At 38.8% G+C, this 19,055-nt stretch overlaps 1 protein-coding gene and 1 pseudogene across 16 annotated transcripts in view, besides 1 other annotated feature; both read left to right on the forward strand.

The window, feature by feature from the left end:
- The window catches only part of GAB1 (GRB2 associated binding protein 1), a 137,690-nt gene that overhangs the window by 83,341 nt on the left and 35,294 nt on the right, over positions 1-19,055 (forward strand). For 10 of the 16 annotated variants that reach the window (XM_047449969.1, XM_017007969.2, XM_017007970.2 and 7 more), the window contains 3 exons: positions 13,275-13,500; positions 13,872-13,952; positions 17,783-18,384. In XM_047449969.1, the coding sequence (XP_047305925.1) occupies positions 13,275-13,500; positions 13,872-13,952; positions 17,783-18,384 (909 nt within the window). The remainder of the gene's footprint in view (positions 1-13,274; positions 13,501-13,871; positions 13,953-17,782; positions 18,385-19,055) is intronic. The other 6 variants (NM_207123.3, NM_002039.4, XM_047449972.1 and 3 more) reach the window with 1 other exon arrangement.
- Positions 4,760-5,768, forward strand: RPSAP36 (ribosomal protein SA pseudogene 36; annotated as a pseudogene).
- Positions 17,465-18,664: an enhancer, noted in NCBI's record as "MED14-independent group 3 enhancer chr4:144358834-144360033 (GRCh37/hg19 assembly coordinates)". NCBI's record gives its function as "activates an origin of replication core promoter dependent on BRD2, BRD4, P300/CBP and CDK7 cofactors, and independent of MED14, by STARR-seq in HCT116 cells {active_cell/tissue: HCT116}" and the evidence as "EXISTENCE:reporter gene assay evidence [ECO:0000049][PMID:35650434]".

Raw genomic sequence — 19,055 nt, forward strand, 5'->3', positions numbered from 1 at the left:
CTAACAGCACAAGATAATTTTTTTACTATGCTAATTTCAGACTAGATGTGAGAAGAAATAGACCATTTCTATAGACTGGTTATCACAGTCTAAGAAAATAACTGTCCCCAGTCCCTGTGAGAATAACTAATTTTCCCCTGAAAACAAAAGGAAAAGGGAAAAATCTGACCTGTGTTTTGATTCCAGGAACCTCTCAAAATATCGTTACCATGTTATTTCCGCTGCCCCAGGTGACCACTGCTATTATTGAATACTGAAAGTGCTGGCAGGCTATATCTGTTTTTAAGTCCTAGCTCATTAAACTGTGTGTGGTTCCTATGAATGCTTTTCTTTAGTAGATTTGAGGGTAGAAACTAATTTTGTTTTTCTTGGAAATGTACAGATTTATTTTTGTTTCTGCAACACAAGGTGGAAGCTGTTAGATCTGCTAAACAAGTATTGGGAAGCAGCTCACTAACTTCATATAAAGGTCTCTAATCTAATTAGATGCAGGATTAGAAAGTTGCCTCTGAGTTGCTTTTCTCAAAATGCCCAGATCATAGTGGCTTAATAAAAAAAAGTACAATTCTCTGTTTGATATTCTCCCCTTGAGTCAAGTAGATATAAACTAACATGTAAGAATATACATACACTTCCTTTCCTGTAAAGCAATCTTTCTCAATTAGGGACTTTTTAAAATTTCTTTTTATTTACTTTTTTATTGAGGTATAACTTACTACTGTGAAGGGCACAGATCTTAAGTATACAGTTCAATGTAGTTTTATGTATTGATCTATATCTACATGTAGATACAGATGTCTGTGTAACTGCCCCTCAGATTAAGAATGGTACTCTTCCCCTCCCCTAGAAAGTTTTCTCATGCCTCTTTCCAATAAAGCCTCCACCCAAATTAACTTTTTTAAAAATTGCTTTTATTACTGTGGATTAGTTTGGCCTATTCTTGAACTTAGGAACCATTGAAACCATTATTTTTTCCAGTATTAAGCCTGTGAGATTCATCCATGTTGTAGCATGTAACAAGAGTTCTTCATTCCTTGTAGCATTTCATTGTGTGAATATATCACAAATTGTGGATCTATTCTAGTGTTGATTGATGTTTGGGTTGTTTTCAATTTTTAGTTAACACAAAGCTGTAGTGAACATTTCTTTATATGTCTTTTGATGAACATAAACACTTAGTTCTTTTGTGTATACACCCATGAGTATAATAACTGTGTTACAGTACAGACGTATATTTAGCTTTAATAGGTTTAACAGCTTTAGTTTTCCAAAGTTAGTGTACCAGTTGCCTACCTACCAGCAGCGTGTGAGAGTTTACTTTACATTCTCATCAATGTTTGATGTTGTCAGTCTTTAATTTTAGCTATTCTATTGGGTGTTAGTGGTATCTTGTGGTGTTAATTTGCATTTTCCTGAGAACCAATTCAACCAGAGAGTTTTTAGGTTTTTTTTCTTTTTCTTTTTTTCTTTTCTTTTCTTTTCTTTTTTTTTTTTTTTGCATATTTCCAAGCCACTGCTCCTGAGATCTTGATTTATTGAGTCTCCTGCGGTGGGGCCCTGTCACCTAGATTTCTAAAATTCCCCACAAGTGATTCTTAGGCCTTCAAACCTCTGGATAAGAATTATGGCATTTGTCAGCATTGCCTAAAGGTTTAATTTAAAGTCTCCAAGAATATTTCACAATCTACTAAAGAGGGAGTCATGACAAATAAAAAGTTTTTCTACTTGAAACAGATTAAACAGATCATGCTATGTTTAAGGGTCTTCAGTAGTTGAGTGAATAAATTGAAGAAACTGCAATGCAGGCTGCTTCACAGAAAATTGCAACTACTGCTATGTCTTATTTGTATCCACTTGTTAGATTTGCCTTTTTGAAATGTTCTTCCATAAAAAACGGTGTATTTAGAGTAAGAAAATGGTATGTTAGTATTAATGATAATGCATACTCTTTGTAGACCCTTATTTGCTAAGTTAGACAGTTCTATTCAAAATGCTTCTCTTTACAGAAAGAAAAATTATTAAGCACACCAGATAAATCATTAATCAATAGAAGCAGAGTAACCCTGACCTGTTTACATTTAATTGTGAACATAAAGGTAAACTTTTACACTAGAAACCAAAAAAATTATTCTATCAGTAGATATAGCCCATCTTCAGAGAAAATAAATGTATTTGGTCTCCTGAAAAGAACATGGGGATCACCACAGTTTTATTATTATATGCTCAGATACAGTAATTTAGTGGTTACAAACTCAAAGAGCCTATCACATCAAGTTTGAAACGTTCTACCTTACCAATAAGAAAGAGTAGAATTGTTTCCTAGGGCTTCAACTCTTCTACCATTTGGGGTTTCTTTAAGTAATTATTTTGAATGTTTAGAGGCATTGTCTTGGCACCCCAACTTTTGTGAGGGATACTAACACAAGGGTATTATGGTTTCAAATAGGATAAACTGTGCATTAGGCTAGGGGTCATGTGGGCCAGTTTATTATTTGTGGATTTCATCACATGATAATCTACTCTTCACTGGAAGCTTGTTCACTGAAAGGCTTTCCCTAGCAGTACTTAATAGCTTCCTAAGTAAATTTCAATTAGGAGTTTGCTCCAGCAGCTTATTAGCCTTTAATGGATGTTAATTATACTCTTCATGCCTTCTGATTTAAGAAATGGGAAATAATTTTACACACATAAGCAAACCCTAAACTAATGTTTAGTTCTTAGAAGCTTGATACCAGCATTACTTAGAAAGAGCAGTAAGTCAGAAACTCAAGGCAGAAAGCAAAATGGTCTATTCTATTACTGGTACAGTAGTATAGAATAGAGGCAAATCACAAGTCTTTATAAAGTAGAACAGAAGTTTATTTTTTCAGACCAGTTGCTTAGCTTTGGTCAGAAATGCAATGTTCGAGAATATTTACACACAGTGCAATGCTTGTATTAAAATATGCAGAGCTGAGTACATAGTCAAATTAACATGAGTAAAATAATCCCAAAGACTACAACTTTGAAGATAGTGCATTGTCTGAGCCAAAGTAGTGAAGTAGTTCCCTCTTCCCTTTTAAAGTCCTTTGTATGTTAATGTGGTTTGGAGTGGTTGGGGTTTCTTTAATGGCTGTTTAAAGGTCTTTTCATGATCTTGCTAGCAAACATAATGAAAGTTTTTCTGTAGTTATTGCCTCTTAGAAGTGTGTAAGTCTTCAGCTGGGCACGGTGGCTCACGCCAGTAATCCCAGCACTTTGGGAGGCTGAGGCATGTGGATGATGAGGTCAGGAGATCGAGACCATCCTGGCTAACACAGTGAAACCCCATCTCTACTAAAAATACAAAAAAATTAGCCAGGCGTTGGTGGTAGGTGCCTGTCATCCTGGCTAACACAGTGAAACCCCATCTCTACTAAAAATACAAAAAAATTAGCCAGGCGTGGTGGCAGGTGCCTGTAGTCCCAGCTACTCGGGAGGCTGAGGCAGGAGAATGGCGTGAACCCGGGAGGCGGAGCTTGCAATGAGCCAGATCGCGCCACTGCACTCCAGCCTGGGCAACAAAGCGAGACTCCATCTCAAAAAAAAAAAAAAGTGTATATATATATATATATATATATATATATATATATATATATATATGTCTTCACGTGCTATGAAAAGGATATTTTTTTTTTAAAAAAAAGGAAACTTTGAATCTCTGTCCTCTTTTCAGAAAATTGAGAGGATCTTGCAGGTATAAAGAGGGTAAGACACTTCTGTCATTTACAGGTGGGAGAAGTGGAAGGTTAAAAATGAGATGGTCCTATTGTGTTAATAAAACAAAGTCAGACAAACGTAATTGCCTGGCTAGGTGATTTTCTTTTCTACTCAGTGCATTTAGTGTATAGCCATGAAGTTTAAAAAAAGTGTTAAAAGTGTATCTGTAAAAACAACCACCTGAAAAAGTTATTTTAGTAGTTGCAGTGAAAAGCTAGAATTCATACTGTTTCATATAGGGAAGTATTTCCAGTGAGTAGTGTTTTTTGGTCAGAACTAAAAATTGAGCTGGTTTATTCCATTTTACCATGCCTGTACTGTAGAGGAAAGGGGAAGTATATGGAATACACTTGTGAATACAGTGTGTAGGATACATTAACAGTTTTCTGAGTGGGCTGCTCTTTTTTCCTCAATACTGTATATATTTTTCTTAAGCTCTTCTTTAAAAGATAAATATTTTTCATACTTCTCTTAAATCCTCAAGGATTAACTCTGAGTCACCATTTGTGGTATTTTAAATCCTTTTAAATAAATCTCTGTATTTGCAACTGAATCAAAACAGTAAAACATTTCACAGGGTAGGATCTGATGACCATTTTATAATCAACATTTTTAGATACCACAAGAGGTACTTATGAGCATCCACTGAAATTATGGCATTATGTCATATAAATATCCAAAAATTCATTTTTTTATTCTTATGTTTATATATAAGAAAGAAAAGGCTGGGCACGGTGGCTCCCTGTAATCCCAGCACTTTGAGAGGCCGAGGCAGATGGATCACTAAGTCAGGAGATTGAGATCATCCTGGCCAACATGGTGAAACCCTGTCTCTACTAAAAATACAAAAGTTAGCTGGGCGTGGTGGCGTGTGCCTGTAGTCCCAGCTACTCGGGAGGCTGAGGCAGGAGAATCACTTGAACCAGGGAGTTGGAGGTTGCAGTGAGCCAAGATTGTTTCACTGCACTCCAGCCTGGTGGCAGAGCGAGACTCCGACTTTAAAAAAAGAAAAAAAAAGGCCTTTCTGTGCTACCCACAGAGGGGTCCATACGGCGTTGTTCTGGATTCCCGTTGTAACTTAAAGGGAAACTTTCACAATGTCCAGAGCCCTTGATGTCCTGCAAATGAAGGAGGATGTCCTTAAGTTCCTTGCAGCAGGAACCCACTTAGGTGGCACCAGTCTTGACTTCCAGATGGAATAGTACATCTCTAAAAGGAAAAGTGATGGCATCTACATTATAAATCTGAAGAGGACCTGGGAGAAGCTTCTGCTGGCAGCTCATGCCATTGTTGCCGTTGAAAACCCTGCAGATGTCAGTGTTATATCCTCCAGGAATACTGGCCAGAGAGCCATGCTGAAGTTTGCTGCTGCCACTGGAGCCAATCCAATTGCTGGTCACTTCACTCCTGGAACCTTCAGATGCAGACAGCCTTCTGGGAGCCATGGCTTCTTGTGGTTACTGACCCCAGGGCTGAAGACCAGCCTCTCATAGAGAGAGGCATCTTATGTTAACCTACCTACCATTGCTCTGTGTAACACAGATTCTCCTCTGTGCCATGTGGACATTGCCATCCCATGCAACAACAAGGGAGCTCACTCCGTGGGTTTGATGTGGATGCTGGCTCGGGAAGTTCTGCGCGTGCGTGGCACCATTTCCCGTGAACATCCATGGGAGGTCATGCCTGAACTCTACTTCTACAGAGATCCTGAAGTGATTAAAAAAGAAGAGCAGGCTGCTACTGAAAAGGCAGTGACCAAGGAGGAATTTCAGTGTGAATGGACTGCTCCAGCTCCTGAGTTCACTGCTACTCAGCCTGAGGTTGCACACTGATCTGAAGGCATGCAGGTGCCTTCTGTGCCTCTTCAGCAGTTCCCTTCTGAAGACTGGAGCACTCAGCCTGCCATAGAAGACTGGTCTGCAGCTCCCACTGCTCAGGCCACTGAATGGGTAGGAGCAACCACTGGAAGGTCTTAAGCTGTTCTTGCACGGGTTCTTAAGCAACATGGAAAATAAACATCAGTATCTAAATAAAAAAAATTTTAAAAATTACAAAAAAAGAAAAAATTAACTCCAGGTATAAGGTGTTAGAGTTTGTTAGATGAGCTATGAAGACTTGACATTACATGGAGTATAGTAAAGATAAAAAGTTAGAGGTTGGTTCACCTTCTATTTACTCAGGCCAGATTCTCTAACAGAATATTTTTGAACTTGATTCATCTAGGAGTGCTCAGAGTTTTTGAGGAGCAAATCCCAAAACTGCACATGCAGGTGAATGGGTCTTAACAGATTTGGAAGTGCCCCTTGCCTTAATTTCTTCTGACTTGACACAAAGTCTGTAATTCCAGCACTTTGGGAGACTGAGGCTGGAGGATCTCTTGAACCCAGGAGTTTGAGACCAGCCTGGGCAACATGGTGAGACACTGTCTCAACAAAAAGTTTAAAAAATTAACCAGATGTGGTAGTGTGTGCCTGTAGCCCCAGCTACGTAGGAGGGGAGGATTGCTTGAGCCCAGGAGTTCCAGGCTGCAGTAAGCTAAGATGGTGCCACTGCACTCCAGCCTGGGCACAGAGGGAGACCTTGTCTCAAAAAATAAAAATAAATAAATAATAAAACAAACAGAGCGCTCAGTGAGTGTCTGCCCTGTGAATGAAACATTTTTTCAGCATCTGCAATGTGTAATGCACAATGCATAGGAGTTCTGATCCTTTCTTGTTTGTTATTGGGAACCACAATTAGAGATAAACTGTCATATTTAGCCATATTAATACATTATTATTCAGGCTTCATTATTAGGATATGACTTCTTAGGCCCAGAAGGTTGTAAAATGAGCTAAATAAACATGCTTGTGGTACATTTATGAATATTATAGTTAAATACATAAAGGCATTATCAAAAGCATGTGGATTTATTCTTATAATTTATTATCTAGAGAAAATAGAGCAGATATTTCACCTCTCTATGGTAAATTAACAAGCCAAATGAAATGCATTACTGATGCAGAACTTTGCTCTGTAGTTCAGCTAAACTGGGCTCTTGTCACAAGACCAGGAAGGATTAGGAACACAGACACATTGAAGGGTGAGGGGAACAGAATTTATTGGGCCAAAGAGGAAAAGAAGAAAAAAGTACTCTCAGGAAAGTGAGAGGGGGTCCTCCTAATAGGCTCCCCACCTCACAGACTGAATTCCAGGCCATCACCCAGGATCTGAAAAGGCCAGGCTCCTCCCTATATCTATCACTCCCCACTCTAAAGAAGTGCATCTAACTGCCTTTATAATAAGGATAAGGATGAAGACCAATCTTAACTTTTTCTTGCTGACAAGGGTCCCTGTTTTGGGAAAACAGCAGTCAGATCCCCCTCAGAGGCTTATCTAAGGGTTCCTGGCAAAAGGGGCCATCATTTGAGGCTCCGGTTGCATGACTGTTTGGAGTTTGATGGCCTGAAGGCGAGAATAGACAAACCGGGTTATTAAAAACATGTATGAAAACAGAACGGGGTTGCGGGTAAATACAGCTAAAAAATCCCAAGGTCTTTTATCGGTTTGCACAGGGAGAGGGAGGCCAAAGCCTGACTGGTAAAAAAAAAAAACAACAACAACAACAAAACCTTTTACCCTTTTTCCGGCATGTCAGGCTTCTGTGTTCCCTTCCCCCAAGCACAATCCTAAGTCAACCAGTTTAAGGTTTGGGAAATTAACTTTTCCCAGTTTGGAGGCTACATCAGAGGGGCGTGTCCCATAGTACAGAGACAAAATTACCTATCAGCAAAGGGAGGACAGAGGAGGAAAAAGAAGATTTTTTTTCAAAGGAGTCCTACGGATTCAGAATGCATTTGAAAGGGGTACAGACTAAAGGTGAATGGCTACTCATCTAGAAAGAGGGGAGCAAAGCATCCCAGGTTCCCTTCTCTTCCTAGTGAATACCCAGAGTATGTGAGGGAGAGAAAGTGAAGCATCTCTTTCTTTCTTCCATCATTATATCCCCAATTCCCAGCAACCTCTACAGGGTTCCACCCATGGGTATCAAAGTGGCCTTCACCTATGTTAATAGGGGGGCCTATGGGGGTGGGAATATGTGCTCTTACCCACATATGCCCTATCTCCCCTGCTGTCAGTAGCCTTTGAATTCCCTAGACTGCATTTATGCCATGGATATTGGTATAACCTTTATCCGTGAAAGGAGAAGCCTGGCTTAATCGGTAGGGATAAGTCACACTCACCTGAGCTGTGCCTTTTAACTTCCATTATTGTCTGCCTCTGGACCTGTCAGATCTAGTTTTATTTCCTAGGGCTTTTACCCAAAGCTTAGAATTGAGTTTGAGACAAAAATGTGTCTTGGGGGGTTGTATGGACTCTATATCATAAGCTGAATGCTAAGGTGAAGCTGTGGAATTGAGTCCTCCTCCAACAAGGGAGAGAAAAGGATGTCTTGTGACACACCCAGATAACTGGTGGCTATAGTTATGCTTGCTAAGATTTGGGTGCATGGGACCTGGCTTTGGTTAGCTCCCTTGGTCTTACTTTTCCAAAAAGGAAACCTCTGGGTGATGGGCATCCTGTTTATTCCCATCACTTGACAAGAATTGCAGGATATTTGCTTAGAACTAGAATATTGATCCAGATTTATCCATCCCCTTAGCTTCTTCTGAGCTGCAGCCAGAGATTGCTGGTTGGTTCACAGGAATAAGCAGGGTAAGTTTAAAATGTAGGCAAGAACTTAAAAACAACTAATGGGTCTAGAATATAATGACAAATGTATGAGAAGTTTTGAAACATTTCTCTCTCTCTCCAGTCCTCATTTTTGTTAAAAACAAATCACTCATAAGTAGGAATTGAACAATGAGAACACTTGAACACAGGAAAGGAGACATCACTCACCAGGGCCTGTTGTGGGGTGGGGGGAGGGGGGAGGGATAGCATTAGGAGATATACCTAATGTAAATGATGAGTTAATGGTGCAGCACACCAACATGGCACATGTATACATATGTAGTAAACCTGCACGTTGTGCACATGTACCCTAGAACTTAAAGTATAATAAATAAAAATAAATAAAAAAAATCATGATAGGATGGAGTTGTTTGCAAAATAGACTTTAGTCTTATACTTGGCCCATTATTTGCATAAAGTGCAGCAAGAATTTTTATTTATTTATTTATTTTTGAGATGGAGTCTTACTCTATTGCCCAGGTGAGAGTGCAGTGGCACAATCTCGGCTCACTACAACCTCCGCCTCCTGGATTCAAGTGATTCTCCCACCTCAGCCTCCTGAACAGCTGGTACTACAGGCACGTGCCACCACACCTGGCTAATTTTTGTATTTTTAGTAGAGATGGGGTTTCAACCATGTTGGCCAGGTTGGTCTTGAACTCCTGACCACAAGTGATCTGCCCTCCTCAGCCTCCCAAAGTGCTGGGATTACAGGTGTGAGCCACTGTGCCCAGCCTGAATAATTAATTTAACATAGGCCTTTTAGATCGACTTTGTTCCACAAGGAGTCTCAGATAGGACTTTCTAAAGCCAAGTCCATCCATGAGTTTGTACCCTCAAATACTTGTGAGTTGGGTAAACGCCTCTCTTCCTGAGATCCCAAGAACATGTGGGTCCTGGGCCTGTTGGAAAGTGGCATTCTCTACTCACCACAGGTTAGGAACCCTGTACGGGGACTGTGTAGATGAGCTATGAGGCCAATTTTCCCAAGGGGCTGAATAAAGATTCAGCTCTGCAAGTAGAGCTTGACTCCTTAAAGGGAAGCATACCTTTCTAGTCAAAGCCTTGGTGAAACAACCAGTTTCTCCAATTGCATCCTGTTGCAAAAGAAAATGGATTCTTACTGCATTGATGCAAACAACCATATTGCTATAAGTTAAGAATACTCACAACTAGTTTCCAAATTCTGGAGAAGAGAGGCAGAGAGACAACTATGCTCCAAATTTTGTTCACAGGATTATACCTTACTCAATTATTAAAGGCCATGAATAGCTCAAAATAAGTTTCCTTGGACTCTGATAAACAAAGATCAGCAGTGTTCCAAGCAAAAGTCAAAAAGGTTACTTCAGTTTTCTGTGAGTTCAGTCCATTTAGTTAACTCGTTTTGCTTGATGTTCGTGAACATTTCAGCCCTCCATGAATCCTGTACATTTTTCCTTTATTCCAATGTCACAATCTCCCAAGTTATCAGAAACCTACATTTGAAAGCACCTGTCAAAGTTCTGTAGCTGATTATAAACATCTTTTGAAGAGGATCAAAACAAGACAATTGTCAGTGAGTAATGAAATGTCTACAGTAGTTACAGTCAGAAACACAATTGAAAAAGAAATTTGGTTATCTCTGTGGTTTACAATAACATAACAACCTTAATTGTGATTGATAGCATATACTCAGACATTAGAATTTTAGAAATCCCATACAATTTTGGAACATATATTAATATTATTCCCTAAGATATAACCTGAAGAAGATTAAACATCATTTTGGCAATCCCATGTACCTAAACATGTCAAATAGTCCTGTTTATCTGTCTTCTGGGTGCTCCAGGAGCCCTCTGTAGCATCCAGAAAGCCAGGTGTCAGCAAAGACAATTTTGAAACTGAAGTTTGATTTTGGGAAGCCTGTTAATTATGTTAGAGGGTTAAAGCACTTGATATTATGAAATAGAATTTCAGATTACCATAAGTTATTTATTTTGCCAAAATGATGACTCAAATTCTTGAAAAAGCAGAAACCTTTTATAACCCCTTAAAACTTTTGCCATAGAGATTAGTGCCTTAAGAGTACCTTATTGTGCTTTTATTTCAGTGCTCAATTTACAGAAAAACCATATTATATGCTTTTGAATTTAGTTAATATGTTCACACTTGGAATTTCTTTTGCAAGATTAATTTTTACAATCCTTTCACAACTTGTTTGAACTTCTAGCTTTATCTTATCTAATTCAAAACAATCCTTTAACCCCAGGCAAAAATTTACATTTTGACATCTGCATTTTACCAATAATCTTTAGGCTTTTTCTATGTCTCAAAGATTAAAGTCACGTGAACTAAAAGGTACCACACAGCTTTTATCTACCCTTTCAATATTTGATCCAAGCACCTATCCTTCTTTAATTAATTAGAGCTCTTTTTATAGACATCACCCAGACAACACATATATAGCTACACAGACAGGCAGAAGAAAATCCAGTAACCACAAGATTTTTCATTTGCCAACCTCCGGGTTGAGCCCATAAAGAGACAGGATTAGGAAAACATGAAGCTTCTAAGGCCTAATAAACAGTTATAACTGGGAGGCAAAAACAGATTTTGAGAGGGATCTATTCACTTTTAATTTCTGGGGTTTCATGAGGAAAACAGAGGTCTCTCCCCTCTCATGCAAGAATTAAGGGTGGCAAGGCAAAATGGAGAAAAATAATTCAGTTGACTAGAAAAAGCCCTTTTCCAGCAAAACAAGACCCAGGAAGAGAAAAACATAAAGGCCTTTTAAATATACCTATAATTTGGATATCCACTTTTAATTAAGCTGAGTGCTCTTTAAGAAAATTCTTTTAAATTCTTTGTTATCCGACTTTAGCTGCGCGAAGTGGTCAGTGTTTCTGGCTTTCAAACTTTACTAAAGGCTCAGAGAAAGGAAAACCCAAGGCAGTTGGTGGGGAGGAAGAGAATAAACAAATAGCAAAAGTCACATAGATATCAAACCAGAAAGGACTCTGCCTGAGCTAGGATTGAGCCTGGGCCACCATTGTAAAATGGCGGAGGCTAAACAAAGCATTGCCACATGGTTACAGGTCACACTTCCAAGGACGTAAAACAAGATGGAGGCCTGCAGCAAAGTTTGCTACTGACCATACAGAAAGACATGCAAAGCACACCAGATTGGCTAAAGCTTAAGCCCAACCTCACAAATCCTTTTTCATAACTAAAACTTTACAGAGAAAGAAGAAGCAGTTTTCCTTATCATTCTTGGTCTAGCAAAACTCTGAAAAAAGAAAAAAAAAAGGCCTCGCTTTAAAGCTAACTCCTGACCTGGTGGAGAATAGGAAAAGACAGCTTAAATGCAAGGCTGTGTTAACTGCTGACAGCGTGGAGAAAAGAAAAAGATGCCTGGGGAAGAACCTGTCATATGCAAATAGGTTTCTTCTACCGGGAGAGAGACATGGTGGGGAATGCTGGCCAGCCCACTGCGCAGGGCCTTTTGGCCTTAGCCACTGCTGTCTAACTCGAAAAAAGAAGGAAAAGGCCAACATTCCTGATCCCTGGGAGTGACGGGAGTTGTGGGGAGGCATAATTCCCTCTAACCTCAGAAGAAATCTGAAGACAAAAAGGCTTAGAAATGAAAGGTAAAAAGATTTTTTGGTTTGCATCTTACCCTTTCTCATGCCCCACATTCGGGCACCAAAAATGATGCAGAATTTTGTTCCTTAGTTCAGCTAAAACTGGGTTTTGTCACGTGACCAGGAAGGATTAGGAACACATTGAAGGACACTTTGAGGGAAACAGAATTTATTGGGCAAAAAGGGAAAAGAAGAAAAATAAACTTCCAGCAAAGCGAGATGGGGTCTTTCTAACAGATTGAATACAAGGCCACCACGTGGGAACTGAAGAGACTTCAGTTTCAACCCAGCTTTTTCTGTTCTATAATAACAAATTTTAAGAACAAATTTATTCATGTATGAGCATTTGCCTTTTTCTGCATTATTTATGGCCTTCTATTCCTAAACAGACTAACAGCATTTTTTCTGAGCCTTTAATATACTTGGTTATGTCAGTGACTACAGCGGGATTTTATTCTAGAATTTCACATGGTTTTCAAATTGCTTCATTCTGCACAATTTAGCTCTTTTCATATTTCTCTCAGAACATAGTTAAGGGAATAATAAATTACTTATTTACTTGCTGGACCTCTTTCCATGAAAATACTACAAAAATCCACTAAATGGCAAATAAAGTTATGAGCTGAGGGAAGAGGTGATGCCTTAAAGAAGCTGTTTCCTTGAACATGAATAGACTTTATTTTCACCAGTCCCAGAATTAGAAGTATTTCTCTGTAGTCTGCTAAGAGGTAGAAAGAAAAGAACGATCATCGAAATAAACAGGGTAAAGAGCTGGCCCTGGTACTCACAGGACCACAGGCCTGGTAAATACTATGTAATTAAATGGGTCTCCTTGGAAGGTTGGGTTGGCTTAGGAAGCACTTCATTATCATGGAGTTTTAAAGTATCTTTCTCTTCTGCTAAGGTTGTAGAACAGCTTCCTTCTCATAGCCTCAAAACTGAAGACTGTTCAAGCAAAGGTTAGCCATGGCTTTTTTAGAGGATCTGGAATATATATAGAGTCCTACTCTTTAGATCTCTTTGACAAGAATAAAAAAATACTTCCTGTATAAAGGTCGCCATTTAGATAGTGTTTGTTTTAGCTGACATTGTCATGATTTATTCTGTTTTTGTGTGTTGAAACAATTTGTCTCCAAAGTAGCTTTGTTTTTCCAAAAATTGTTTAACTGTGATAGACGTGATAGTTAAACTTTGGTGTTGCAGATCCTGTGAAGCCACCTGGCAGCTCTTTACAAGCACCAGCTGATTTACCTTTAGCTATAAATACAGCACCACCATCCACCCAGGCAGATTCATCCTCTGCTACTCTACCTCCTCCATATCAGCTAATCAATGTTCCACCACACCTGGAAACTCTTGGCATTCAGGAGGATCCTCAAGACTACCTGTTGCTCATCAACTGTCAAAGCAAGAAGCCCGAACCCACCAGGTAAATTATATATGCCCATGTGAGAGAGAGACAGAGGCGTGTGTATGTGTGTACACACTGAGATTCTTACCTTTAAACTTTTTAAATTTCGATTTGCAGGCTTGAAAGAGACCATCTGTATAGGCATATGTTTCAGGCTTTATATTTCAGGTTTACATTCCCCTATTGATTTCCGATATTCAGGAGATTGTATCGAAGAGACACAATCTCTGCCATCTTTGGCAAAGAGCAGTTTTCCCTACAAGGCTCTTTTGGAAATCTGTCTCCTATTTTGTAGTCTTTGTTACAGACTCACAGTATTACTTGCTTAACAGATTTCACTGATTTATAAATGGTGATCTTGCTCCATTTCTTATGTGATTGTAAACCAGCCAAGGGTCATCTTTTGTTTCTGAAGAAGGAGAGGAATACCTTCTACTAGAAGATTTTGAAAGCAAAACGATTCCATTGCAGTGAGTGTGTTGTGGTGGTTTTGGATCTGTGTGAGAAATTAATCATAAGGTAAAATCCCAATATAGCAAATTCCATGGAATATACAAATTGGATGTTAGTGAAATTTGATCAAATAAATATATTCCTAAAAATTACGAAACTTTTAGTCTTCATATCTAGCAATGAAGCAGAGCTTACCCTAAGCCTTTTTATTTATCTTTTTTTTTTTTTTTTTAGGAGACAAGGGCTTGCTCTGTTGCCCATGGCTCACTCATAGCTCACTGTAACCCCAAACTCCTGGGCTCAAGTATTCCTTCTGCCTCAGCCCCCAGGTAGCTAGGACTTCAGGTGCATGCCATCTGTATGCTGGCTGGCTAATTTTTTCTTTGTAGTGACGAGGTCTCACTATGTTGCCTAGGCTGATCTCAAACTCCTGGCCTCAAACAGTTCTCTCACCTCAGCCTCCTAAAGCACTGGGATTGCAGGTGTGAGCCACTGCGCTTGGCCTCCCTTTACAAATTTTTAAGTAGAAGTATATGGAGTGCAGCACTTGACTGAAGGAATGAATCATCAAGCCTGTCCCAAATTCTTGGTTTCTCTACCATCTCCTTCCCTGCCCCCACACCCCTTTCCTCTTCTAAGCTATAAGGCATTTTAATTGGATCCTCCTTGTTACTTGATGTTGAATAGTTAGAAGAGTTAAGGCAATAAAGAGTCAAGAAGCAGTTGTTTTACTATTTTTAAAAGGAGCAGAAAAATGATGATTGAGAGGCCAATCTCTGCCATTAGTAGCTATGTGACAATTAGTGATACCAGTCAACTGAGTACATTTTATTTATGTATTAATCAGCTAGGGTCTGGATAGAGAGTATATTTCTTTATAGACATGAAAAATGTTTTTTTAAACAAGATTATAATTAAGCATTATTTTATGACAGATTTTTTTTTAATGTGGAAAATGATTATTACTGGGCTAGGATCAGACAAAGCACTTGTTCAAAAATTTTAATGTAGAATATGTTAAGATTCACGAAATAGTTTCTGTGAACCATGCCCTGAGATGATGGAAATAGCTCATATTCATTCCAAAGCTGGATTTCTATGTATTTGTTGTAATGGGATTTTACCTGTAAGAGCAGAAAAAAATTTATAAATCAACATTTGTTAATATCAAATTCTAACTTGATTTTGCTTGTTTGCTGTGAGTATCTAAAATTATACACTGGCAACTTTGTTACCTATGCTACTAACTAATATTTTATTTTACAAAAGTTTACAATTATTTTTCATTAGCAACTTTTTAGAAGCCAACAGCCAAGCGACAGTTCTCAGTATATTTTATTTTTATATAGTGTATTTCATTGATTTCACTGGTATCACAGCTTTCCTCTTGCAGTACAACTTATGCTCAAAATCATCACCCAGATGTATTTTGCTATCTATATTTTGCAAAAGTGACAGTTAAATAGCAAATATTTATGAGGTAACCACTATGTGCCCAATATTATGCTAGGTGCTATGAAGGTACAAACTATATAAGATATAGTCTACTCAGATATAGTCACCTTTGGAGTTTACAAGTAAGAGTTGCTAAGAAGTGAAAACATGCAAGCATTAAATATTTAGAGATGAAGATAATATACCAGAGTTGCCTTGCAAACTCTTGTTTGTTCTGCAAGACTTTAGTTAGAATGTGCTCCTCTAGGAAGCATTCCTCTCAAACTCCCAAGTTAGCTTAAATATCTTTCTGGGTTTTTATAGCATCCTGGTTATGCCTTCATATCTTGTTTTATCGCAGTGTTAGAAACGATGTTTTTACTTACTCTTCACTAACTGTAAGCTAGTCAGAGCAAGGAGCTTTACTTATTACTCATAATTCCTCTAGCTTCTCTTAACTCTGCATTTGAATTAAATGAAGTACAAATTTTAGAATATGCATAGGTGCATTAGAAATTCCACAAAGGGACAGTGCAAGTGTTTTTAAGATGGAGAAAACAAAAGCTTCATAGGAAGAATGGAATGTGAACTACACCTAGTTGGTGAGAGAAGAAAATCATTAGTAATTTGTGCAAAAATAGCTTGAGGGAAAGGAGAGATGTGAGCAAGCATGGTGGGAGGAAGATAATGAGGAGGAGAGCCTCTTGAAGAATAGGATGGAGAAGGTGGAGCCAGGTTATTAGTAACCTCAATGTCAAGTGGATTAGTGTGAGGCCTTATAGTTCCCACACCCTGTAGGGGCCCTTACTAGGTTTTTCTCTTGAATACATGAGTGGTATAACAACTGTGTTTTGAAAATATTGATCTTATAGAAGTCTGGTCCCATGAATAGATTGAAAGAGGCAGACAGTAGAGGAAATTCCACTAAGGAGAGTTCAGTCATGTAGATCTCAGCAGGGATGGGGACCTGAACTTGGGATGGTGGCAATGGGAATAGAACAAGGGAATAAGTACGCGGCTAAGAAGAAGGGCTCGGTGCCTGCGTGACTGGAAATCAAAGAGAAGGAATCAAGCTGATTGAGTTTTAAGCCTGGAGAATCTGGATAAAGTCATTTCTTTCAATGCAAGCCAGGAAAAGCAGTCAACTTAAGAAGTAAATGGATTTCTATTTGAGGCCCACAAGCAAGGTAATACTGGAGTAACCAAGTAGAAATATTAGTTTGAGAATATGGGACTTGGAATTTGGTAAGATGATGGAAGTTGTCAGCATTCAGAGAAGAAAATGAAGTTCTGAAAAAGGAGGATGATCTCTAATAGCGTGTATGGTAAAAGGTTAGAGGACTGAACTCTGTTGGCCATTCCCAGGGAGAGAGACGGGAGGAAGGAGCCAGTAAGTGAAACAAGGAAATAATCAGCAAGGGAGAAGGGTTTTAAGATCTTTTTAAGATGGAGAAAACAAAAGCACAATGTGGCACAATGTGGGTTTTCTGATAGTAAAGGGGGAGACTTTACAGAGCGTAGTGCCACATGTTACTAAGAAGTCAGGGAAGGTAAGCCCTTTAAAAAAAAATCATAGTTATTTAAAGAAATATTGTTTAAATTCCTACAGGACTTTGGACAACATGCAGAAGTAGTTCAGGTATCTTGTTTAGCATTAAGGAAGTGAGAGTGTGCTTGTGTTGTTAGCTTCATCTTGTCGTATACCCAAATTTTGTGATACCTCAAAATGCAGAGACCGAAAATGTTCATAAATGTACTTTAATGAGATTTCTCAAAGTGAGTTATTGTTTGGAGTTGGTTAACTCTGTATCACGTATTTCGATCCTCTTTATAATGTTGGCTAAATGTTTGTTAAAGAAAAGTAGTGGAAAGGAAGATATATGAAAACAATTAGATGTTACCTTCTTGTAAGTCACATTGACCTTATTCAATACCAAGTAATCATTAGACTTTTAATTTTACGGAACAACAAATTTGCCGTGGGGAGGTTTAAGACCAATGGATCAACTATATAAACTGTACTAGCACTAGGTTTTTGCATGCTCTTCAGAGGAAATGCTTTTCCTTGTGTCTATGCATTAATCATTTACCTTTCCCAGAGTTTTGTAATGTTTAATTCCAGTGCTTCAGGGATTGTGTTTTTATGTGCAGATTTAATAGGTGGAGTTGGGGGTGTGGGCAGATATAGGACAGAATTAGAGAGAATGCTTTTCTTGGTTTTGTGGTGGCGGTTTTGTTGTCTGATGTATAATCATAAAGGCTAAAGAACATTTGTGCTTTAAATCCTATGGATCACACAAAAAATCTAATGAGAAAAGCCCTATCTTTTGATTGCTTAGCGATAAACATGTTTATAAAAAATGTATTCTTAGTCTCCACCTTGTTTATTCTGTCATTAACAATTTTTATTTAGAACGCATGCTGATTCTGCAAAATCCACCTCTTCTGAAACAGACTGCAATGATAACGTCCCTTCTCATAAAAATCCTGCTTCCTCCCAGAGCAAACATGGAATGAATGGCTTTTTTCAGCAGCAAATGATATACGACTCTCCACCTTCACGTGCCCCATCTGCTTCAGTTGACTCCAGCCTTTATAACCTGCCCAGGAGTTATTCCCATGATGTTTTACCAAAGGTGTCTCCATCAAGTACTGAAGCAGATGGAGAACTCTATGTTTTTAATACCCCATCTGGGACATCGAGTGTAGAGACTCAAATGAGGCATGTATCTATTAGTTATGACATTCCTCCAACACCTGGTAATACTTATCAGATTCCACGAACATTTCCAGAAGGAACCTTGGGACAGACATCAAAGCTAGACACTATTCCAGATATTCCTCCACCTCGGCCACCGAAACCACATCCAGCTCATGACCGATCTCCTGTGGAAACGTGTAGTATCCCACGCACCGCCTCAGACACTGACAGTAGTTACTGTATCCCTACAGCAGGGATGTCGCCTTCACGTAGTAATACCATTTCCACTGTGGATTTAAACAAATTGCGAAAAGGTCAGCTCTAGTTGACTTCTTCTCTATTAGAGGTTAATGATAGAAAATCGATTTTTCTGAATATTTGTTCTTTTAAGCGTAGTTAAATATACTATGCTACAAAATACAGTCCATTTTTTTCCAGCTCTACAGCTACCTGGAAGGGTATATTGCATTCATGCTCTGCTGGAAGGGAAAAAGAGTTGGAGTTTCTCACCCCTGAAGAAGTATGGCCTTAGTAATGCCTTCCTGCCTCAGGAAGTGTGCCCTTCTCTCTCCCACTTTCTATAATCCTGGGTGGATAGGCCCTCTGTTGGGACAGAAGGGCAGGAAATGGACCAGCCACAAAGCCTCTCCGAGTCATACCCTTTCCTGTATTTGTGTGCCATTATGGCCGCTTCTAAGTCACATCTGTTGGGCTCTATTTCCTTCCTTCCTATATAAGCAGTTTTTATGTTGTGTCTAACAGGTGATATTCTGTTCCAGTCAAGCCATTATGCTGTTTGATTTTTACTTGTGTTTAAAGAGCTGAATCTTCTTTCCCCTTATCACTACCCACTTCACTCATTGCTAGTGAGTATACTTTCCTATACTGTCTCCTAGAGTCTGTATCCAAAAGTTACAGACCTTGAGAGGAGAAGAAAAAAATGAGTCTGGGTGATTCTCTGAGATTCTCAAAGTCCTACAAATAG

This window comes from Homo sapiens, chromosome 4 (genome assembly GCF_000001405.40).
Source record: "Homo sapiens chromosome 4, GRCh38.p14 Primary Assembly".
Lineage (NCBI taxonomy): Eukaryota > Metazoa > Chordata > Mammalia > Primates > Hominidae > Homo > Homo sapiens.